This window comes from Homo sapiens, chromosome 22 (genome assembly GCF_000001405.40).
Source record: "Homo sapiens chromosome 22, GRCh38.p14 Primary Assembly".
NCBI classification, from domain to species: Eukaryota; Metazoa; Chordata; class Mammalia; order Primates; family Hominidae; genus Homo; species Homo sapiens.
In genome coordinates, this window is record NC_000022.11 from 49033273 (window position 1) to 49042352 (window position 9080).

The following is a 9080-nucleotide window of genomic DNA, read 5'->3' on the forward strand; positions in this document are numbered from 1 at the left end:
CTTCAGAGCCTGGCTCCAGCCCTGGAGACAGAAAGACCAGTTTAAATTCCCACCCGGCCCGCACCCTCTGGGGGGCCGTGGGACTTTGGGGAGCCTCTTTGGTCCTTAGTTTTATCTTCTGTGGAACAGACGCAATAATCCGTATTTAGTTGGGGGTAATTAGTCGACGTATGTGGATAGGTGGACACGCAGTACACTTGGTGATGGTGGCCGTCTTCACCCCTCTCTCCCTGGTTTCCCTAAGAGAGGCATCTCTTTCCGCCCTTCTCCCCTGAAACTTGGGGTGTGAAGTGTAAGATGCTGGATCTCACAGACAGGAGCCCACCACCGACCCAGAGACATCGTGGCCAGTTTTGAAATCTTCAGTCTCAGAGGACACTCATGGGCTCTGCGATGCTGGGTGGGTCGTGTGCCCACCCTGAGCTCCTTCCTTTGCTCCTAAAGACAGGAGTGATGCTTCCTGCCTCCGCGTTACACAGGCATCGTGAGGCTGCACATGACAGCAGCTGCCCAGCTCCAGGTCAGTGGTGGCATGGAAGAGCTCCAGCTCCAAGCTGCACACACCCTACTTGAGACGCCGTTGTTCTGAGTCCACCGTGCCAGGTGGAGTCCTTCCGTCCCCAACCCTTGCCCTAGGGCCCTCAGTGCTGGTGGCTCCATGAGGTACTTCTTTCTGTAGTGGGTGTGAGATTCATGAGTGAGATGCCCCCAGCCCTGCTCCAGGGCAGCCTTGCCAGTTTCTGGAATGTTCTCCATTTCCAGTCTGCAGCTTCCTTCTGCCCAGGAGTGGCTTCCCTGTCTGGCTGTCATTCAGCTCAATTCTGTACTTAACTTCAAAATGTGCATAAAATCCTAAAATGGGACGTTTCTCAGTTGACGTCCTCCACCTCCAGCTCCTCTCACATGGAAGCAGGTGGGGGCCTCACGGTGTTCTAGAGTTTGCAGGGGGCAGAGAGCAGCATCCTCACCGCAGATATCCTGTTACAGGACTATGGGATTAAGAGCTTGAAGTTTCATTTAAATCACAATGAAAACAACTATGGCCTGGTGCGGTGGCTCATGCCTGTAATCCTAGCACTTTGGGAGGCAAAGGAAGGCAGATCGTGAGGTCAAGAGATCGAGACCATCCTGGCCAACATGGTGAAACCCCATCTCTACTAAAAATACAAAACTCAGCTGTGCATGTGACATGCACCTGTAGTCCCAGCTACTCAGGAGGCTGAGGCAGGAGAACCACTTGAACCTGGGAGGCAGAGGTTGTAGTGAGCCAAGATTGGGCCACTGCACTCCAGCCTGGGCAATAGAGCGAGTCTCAAAAAAAAAAAAAAAAAAAAAAAAAAAAAAAAAAAAAAACAATTACAAGCCCCAATTCAGCGTGCTCCCAGGAGACTGTCTGACTTGGGGCTCTGGAGTTTCTGAGGCCCACAGGGTGAGCAGGGAACCCGGCCAATCTCTCCCTCCTGGGTCCCTCTCAGGCAGGCCATGGTGACCTGGCCCCAGGCAGACGCTGGCAGCTCAGAGGCGTGTGGGACCTGCAGACCTCAGGGGTTGCTGGACAGTCCTGAGATAGGCCTTGCTTTTGGCCAAGGCACCTGAAGAGTGAAAACACTCTGTGCATAGAGGAACAGGATGGGGAGAGCATGGCAGGCCCTTCTCCAGTTCAGGGCCATCCCCTCCAGATCCAGAGCAAGCTCGGGAGGGGAGGAGTCGATGTCCCAGGATTTGTGACTCGGACATCGGGGTTGGGGGATGTGGGTGATGTTCACCTGCCGTGGAAGAACCCGGAGGATTAGGGTGGCAGGCGGCAGGGCCCTGAGTCAGGCTTGAAGACGTCGGGTTTAGAGGCAGCGGGCAACTTGGATGGAAATGGTACAGACAGACGCTGGGGTGCCGAGATCAGCACCCCACTCGGCCCCCCACACCTCCATGACTAATCAAAAGGTTCACTTCTCCCAATCTTCCAGAAGAAGTCCCGGCCCCTGGGAGGCTCCTGGTATGGACCCAGCTATGGGACTCACCTTCTGGCGGGCACAAGGGCTGTGTCCCAGCAGGCAGGACCCTAGTTCAACTCCTTCCTAGTCACAGGGGGCCTGGGGTGGCCAGATCAGGGTCTTCTCCTCCCCACGCCTGCCCTCCTCAGCAGCCCGCTGCCCCATGGCCTTTCCCTGCTCCTGAGTGGATGCCACGCCCTCTCCTAGGTGGTTCTACCTGGACAGTGACTTCTAACGTCAGATATTGCGAAGGCCGCCTGCAGGGAGGATGGAGCCAACAGTCCTGGCGGTCTGTCCGCCCAGCTCCCTCGAAGGCCTCCTCCTGGCTTCCTGGGTGAGGCTTGCTGGGGAGCAACGTGACATAGAGGCCACTCTTTGGGGACTGCTGCTTGGGGGCCTGGCTCCTGGGTACGGGTGGGAGGCAGTGACCTCACAGAGAGGACGCTTTCTTGCGGGATCCTGGGAGAGTCTCACTGTGGGCACAGGGCCACTGTCATCGCTCGGTCTGCAGCTCAGAGACCTTTAGGGGTAGCCCTTGTCTCCAGGCTAAAATGCCACCTCCGTGTGTGACATTCCTGCCTGTCCTTCCTGGATTTTAGTCTATGCAAATTCTGTCCCCTCCCCTCGGCTGCCCCACATAAGTGTGACCTTCACACGCATCCCCACGGGCCAGCATGGAGCCCCCTCAGGCCGCCAGCCTTCCTGGGCTAAGGGTCTCTGCACTCTGGGGGGCTCCGTCCCAGTCCTCACACAGGGCCAGGCTCAGGCTCGGACCCATCTCCTCCTTGAAGCCTTCCTGAAGCTGCAGCCAGGCCCGGCGTGTGCAGGCTGAGTGGCAAAGGCCAGACCTTTGATGTACGGGGTGTCCCATCAAGGTTGCCACGTCACAAACAAGGGAACTGAGACCCGTGGAGTTTCCTGATGGCCTGAATTCCAGCCCTCCCCTGCAGTCCTGCCTGCCTCACAGGCCTGCTGGCCATGGTACCCCTGCTGGACAGTAACCAGGCGGAGGCGCCTGCTGCCGGCGAGGCCCCAGGGTTGGAGAGCTTTGTCTGGCAGGCTCCGGGACCAGGGCACAGACCCCATCGATATGGTCCGGAGTCTCTCTGATTTCCCCGCCCGCCCAGGGCCTCTCTCCTATGGCTCCCACTATCAGGGAGGCCAAGGGGACGCGTTTCCTGTGCTCTCCTGCCAGACAGAGAATTGCCTGGATTACGAATATCAGTTCGGGGGTGACAGGTGACAGACGTCACCAACCTTCAGCTCCAGACTGAAATAACATGGTATTGACCTTGCTCAGAAAGGCTACCAAAATAGAATGTTCAATACTCTCTATTTTAACTGACAGTTAAAAATTCAATACACCTTCCTCCTGCCAGACACCTGTATGCAATCAAGCTAAATAAATGCCCTCGGGTTCTTGCAAGAGGCGTAGCTGTTTGTGTATAAAGCTATCGGCCCTGGCTGGAAGGGACTGATTTTCCACAGTCTAGAGAATGGCCCTTTTGAAAAGTAAACAATGCCTCCACAATCCCAGGCTATTTTGACAAAAGCAAGAAGCGAAGCAGAAGTGGGAGATAAAGGCACGCTCCGTCTCTCCTCGGACCCAACACGGACTCCACAGACATTGTTCCGTCACGGAAATCAATACCAAAAAATAAAGGTCAGATACGTGTGTGTGTGTGTGTGTGTGTGTATGAGCTATAGACACAGAACGTGAGTATCCAGAGGAGATCAGCTGTGGGAGGTACAACCGTTATACCAAGAAAAGACCCAAAGAAAACTGGAATAGTATAAAAAATAAATATGTAACAGGAAAATAAGAAATAATATTAAAGACAAGAAATAAAAAGTATCAACACAACAAAAACTTGAGTCATCACAAAAGAAATGATGCAAAAAAAGGTTTGCAAGACTGGAGCAAGGAAGGATGGGGTGGGAGAGAGGATGCTGGGAGTGGGAGGGGCCAGAGGGTGGGAGAGAGGATGCTGGGAGTGAGGATGCTGGGAGTGGGAGGGGCCAGAGGGTGGGAGAGAGGATGCTGGGAGTGGGAGGGGCCAGAGGGTGGGAGAGAGGATGCTGGGAGTGAGGATGCTGGGAGTGGGAGGGGCCAGAGGGTGGGAGAGAGGATGCTGGGAGTGGGAGGGGCCAGAGGGTGGGAGAGAGGATGCTGGGAGTGAGGATGCTGGGAGTGGGAGGGGTCAGAGGGTGGGAGAGAGGATGCTGGGAGTGGGAGGGGCCAGAGGGTGGGAGAGAGGATGCTGGGAGCGGGAGGGGCCAGGGGGTGGGACGGGGCGGGGAGAGGGAGAAGAGGGGTTCTGGGTGGGAAGGATTGGGGAGCGGGAGGAGGGGAATCCTGCAGCGGGAGAGGCCGCAGCTGTGCGCAAGGTGAGCACTTCCCAGGCAGCTCTCTGAAGGCCAAAGGGCAAGCCCCGAAGTACCCTGGATGTCTCCGGAATGGCCAGGAGAGCCCAGAGCCAACACGTGTGGTGTGACAGGACCTCCTCCAACCACAATCACATCTGAACTTTCCTCTATCAGGACTGAAGAAGGCAAACACTTTGCAGAGACTCCTGGCCCCAGGTCTCCTCCCGCCTCCACTTCCAGCTGCAGGGAAGCTGCCAGGATGCTGGTAGTTCTCTGAGACTCATTCAGGAAGAATCTGTTCTCTGGGCTTCTCGAAGTGAACCGGCCACCTCTGAGCCACCCAAGGGTGGGTCAGAGCTCAGCAGGCCCAGGAGCTGAGGATGCCGCTAATGCCTCGGGTCCTCGCCTGCCGCCAGGCAGCTCCCAAATGCTGACCCTGAAGGCCGCTGTCCCGTTTCCTCTGTCTTTCTACAGGAAAACGGGGGTGGACATGAAATGTTAGGGCCGGTGGGCACTGGCCTTTCAGCATCTCCCAAAGATGAGAAGGGCCCTCTGTCTCTGCCCCACCAGGCCCCACAGTGATGAGGCTGATTATGACCGCTTCTGTGACATGTAAGGCACCAAAATTAGCATGTGAGGTCGGACACGAGAGAAAGCAAGGGCACTGGACTGTCTGGAGGATGTTTTAAGGTGTTTTCTTATAATGTACCGGAGTTGCTTTTTTTTTTCTTATTTAATTTCCCTTTCTTTCTTCTTTTTATTTTTTATTATTATACTTTAAGTTCTGAGGTACACGTGCAGAACGTGCAGGTTTGTTACATAGGTATACATGTGCCACGTTGGTTTGCTGCACCCATCAACCCGTCATTTACATTAGATATTTGTCCTAATGCTCTCCCCCAGCCCCCCGCCTCCGGACAGGCCCCGGTGTGTGACGTTCCGCTCCCTGTGTCCATGTGTTCTCATTGCTCCACTCCCACTTAGGAGTGAGACCATGCCGTTTGGTTTTCTCTCCTTGCGTCACTTTGCGGAGAATCTTTATTTGGGAATTGCATTTCTTTAATCTGATCATGTTTTGCTTTACGTGTGTGTCACTGCAATTTCTCCACATGTTGCTCTTGCTTTCCCTGGACACTGGCTGGAAGGCGGAGCCGGAGGGACTGGCTAGAGCCCTGGTTTTAGTTCTGGCCCCGCACCTGAGCCACTCGATGACTTTGGAAAAGTGACTCAGCGCTCGCCTCTCAGGTTTCTGACTGAAAAATAAAATGGGCCGTTGCTGGACTCACAGGCGATCGGCAGGATGAAAACGCGCCGTGATCGCCGCATGGTGGCTGCGATGTTAACAAGAATTTGACACCTGGTGAGGATGTGGAGGACCCCAAACCTGAGACTGTTTGGAAGGAGATGAGAGAGCTGAGGTGTGTGGTCCCACCCCTGAGCCCTGCAGCCACCTGGACTCCTCAGCCCAGCGCCATGTCGCAGAGGCCCCTCTGTAGTCATCAGGCCAGCAATGGAGGTGTCACCTGCACGCTTTGCCCCTGGGGGAGCTCAGCCTCACTCTGTGATCTCGCTGATCCAGCCAGCAGACCTGGGGCTTTGATTGGAGGCCCCTGTGGAATTTAAGACCTATTCATCCCACCTACAGAGGTGCTGGTTGCTCTCTGTATTTCTCTACTGATGGTGGCCATGGGGGCTCCCCGCTGCTCTCCAGACCCTGGTCCCATTTGGGACTCTCCATTGTCCCTCCCACGGGTCTCCACTTTCTCACACCCAGCTCCTCCTCCTCTCCTGCTTCCTTTATCATCTTCACTTGCGGTCCTGGCATCCTCAGGATACCAACCCTCAGCTCTACAGACCAGACAAAAGGGCAGTTGTGGCCTAGGAGAGCTTCTTAATCTGAATTCCATAAAGATTCATTTTTATTCAGTGGTGCATGTGCACACACACACACACGCACACACACAATGAATCTTTGAAAAGTCTCCAGGCTAGAAGATAGCTGCTCTTGGTGTGTTGAGGGCAAGAGCTGTACAGGGCGGTACAAGGTTTCTCTCCCAAACCCACCATTGTCACAGCCACTCCAGTGCAAAACCATGTAGACTATTCCGGCAGGCACTGCATTCCAGGAGCCAGTCTTCCCCTTAGTGAGAGGCCGAAGTCCATAGCTGGAAGCAACCTCTGCTCCTGGTGCTGGCACAGTTAGAGTGGCGTGGGCCACATTTGCTTTGGGGAGGGAAACAGCTTCTGGAGCCTGCGTCTCTGGTACCCAGGTGACAGCAGACCCGGCCATGTCGCTGCAGCCAGGCCATGCTTGGCAGCTTTAGGGAAGCAAATTAGCAGAAGACTGCAGGGTCCAGGGACTTAGCAAGCTGCCTCCAGGGCAGAGGAATCAAAAGACAGATTTGTTTGTTTATTTATTACTTTTCTGGCCCTGGCTTCAATTCCCATACACAGAACTTGGCTGTGGGATTCTTTACAAAATCATTCTATTCTTGGATTTTAAGCCATTATTGAAATTCTATTGTAATTTTTTTCATCTGTTTATCATTGACTCATCAATCCGTTCAACAGGAATCCTGGCCAAGTGCTGGTCACGGTGAGGGACTTGGAGTTTAAAGTCACCCGGTGCAGAGGGAGAGAGAGACAGTGTGCTGGGAGTGGGTACAGAGCCAGCATCCCCAGCGCCACCGGAAAGCCTCACACACGCCTTGGCAGGTGGAGACAGCGGAGCCCTGGGCAGTGGAATATTCTACAGAGGCACGGGGAGCTGAAGGGGAGCTGTGGACCCAGGAGAGCTGGGGAGCAAGGCCCAGGGAAAGACAGTAGAGATAGACCAGCAAGTTGGAGGAAGTACTTTTTATACATTCATTCATTTGTTCACACGTTCATTCATTTCTCCACTTATTCACAAATATTCTTTGGGAAACAACTGAGAGCCATGTGACCTTCCAAGCTCAGGGACAGACCAAATGCCTGCCTGAGTGGCTCCTGTTCTGGTAGTGGACTGAGGTATTGAACAAATGGAGCCAATAAACGCAAGTCGGGGTGACCGATGGTCATTAAAAAAATAGAGCCAAGTCCAGAAAGAGGATGCATGAGGTGCTGTGGGAGAAAGGGTCCTGGGGGAGGTCCTTTGAGTGGGGCATTGGATTGAGGTCCAATCAACAGTGAAAGTTGTGGGTGTCAGGGGAGGGCTGGGGGCAGATGGAGAAGCCCTCGCAGGTGCTCTGCTGCCTAAGGCTGCTCACTGGGCACCTGAAGGAGCGGAGGCTGAAGGCCGGTGGAAGTCGTCCTGCCCTCTGTGCTCCTAGGTCCCTTCCCCAGGGTGCTCCCTGGATCAAGTCCGACTAGGAGATCCTCCACCATTCCTATGCCATGGCAGACGTGAAACACGGTCATGCTTGTGTTGCATGCTGGGAGGAATGGTGGACAGGTGGAAACTTCCAGTACCCAGAGCCGAGCCCTGGCCCAGTTCTGCTGCCCAGAGGGCTGCAAGGAGGCACTTGGTGTCCTGAGCAGGACTCTGAGAGACAACATGACACTGGAGGAACACTCAGGGGAGGACACACGCAGAAGACAGAAAGAGCCGCCATCTGAGCACTGCCCCCGACTCCAGGCAGATCAGCCCTGGCGAGGATGGGCGGGAGGAGCGGCCAGCCCACCTGTGCAGGGAAACACGCAGGCAAGGCGTGGAAAGGAGCTGATGCTCAGCGTCTTCAAAACCAGACGCAAATCTCACCCCAGAGCCAGTGGGCTCCTCGGAAGTTTTGGTCAGGGAGAAGGAATACGCTCTGAGCTAGGAATCAGGAGACATCTCTGGAGCCAGCAGTGGGGTTTCTGTCCACAGTCAGTGGAAGCAGGGCGACTCCCTAGGGCTTTTCAGCAGAGAGAAGCCCAGAACGCCCAGCCTGACTTGATTTTCTCCCCATGCCTAGGTCACAGGCTTAGGATGTTAAAGACTCAAGATGACATTATTCCTACCTCAAAATAACAACAGCTTCTACCTTGCACACCCACTGGCTACCAACCTTCCATTAACATGCAAGTAAGAGCAATTCCCGAGAGAGAAGCACAGCGTCAGGTTGTTTTTCTCACCTACTAAGATGGTCAAGGGCGAAGCAGTCCAGGGTGGCCCATTGGCTCTAGGGTGCCATCAGGGACATGGCCTCCTCAAATCTTTCTGCTCAGTCATTCCTAGGCTGCCTCAAAGACACAAGACAACAGCTGCACCTCCAGCATTGCATCTGCATTCTCCACAGAGGACAGAAAAGGGCAAAGGTAAGGGCTGGCCAAACGTGTTCCCACGAAAGGGCCTTTCTCAGGGTTCACAGAGGCACTTTCATTGGCACCCCCTGGCAAGGACTGGGTCATGTGACCACGCAGCGATAAGAGAACTGGGACGAGGCACCGTTTTTCACCCCATTTCTTTTATTTTGCTTGTTTTTGTGGTGAAATCTGGGCATATAGTTTCCACAGCAACCTCTATGAAGTAAATACTGTATCTTCCCTGTGAAGACACTGAGGCTCAGGGAGGCTACAGACCTTCCCCAAATTACCTGACACTCTGGCAGCTTCGAATCCAAGCAGGTGATTCCTCAGGTGTCCTCCTGAGTCCTTTGCCATTCAGCCTTTCCGAGGTGCTTCCAGCTCCCCAGCCATCCCGGCAGGGCCACAGATCCCATGTGGTTGTGGTTAGGACTGATGGTGTCTGAATTAGAACTT

General features: G+C 54.5%; 1 annotated feature.

The window, feature by feature from the left end:
* Positions 1255 to 2178: an enhancer, noted in NCBI's record as "NANOG-H3K4me1 hESC enhancer chr22:49430339-49431262 (GRCh37/hg19 assembly coordinates)". NCBI's record gives its function as "activates a minimal SCP1, AML or CMV promoter by ChIP-STARR-seq in primed H9 embryonic stem cells {active_cell/tissue: H9 hESC(primed)}" and the evidence as "EXISTENCE:reporter gene assay evidence [ECO:0000049][PMID:30033119]".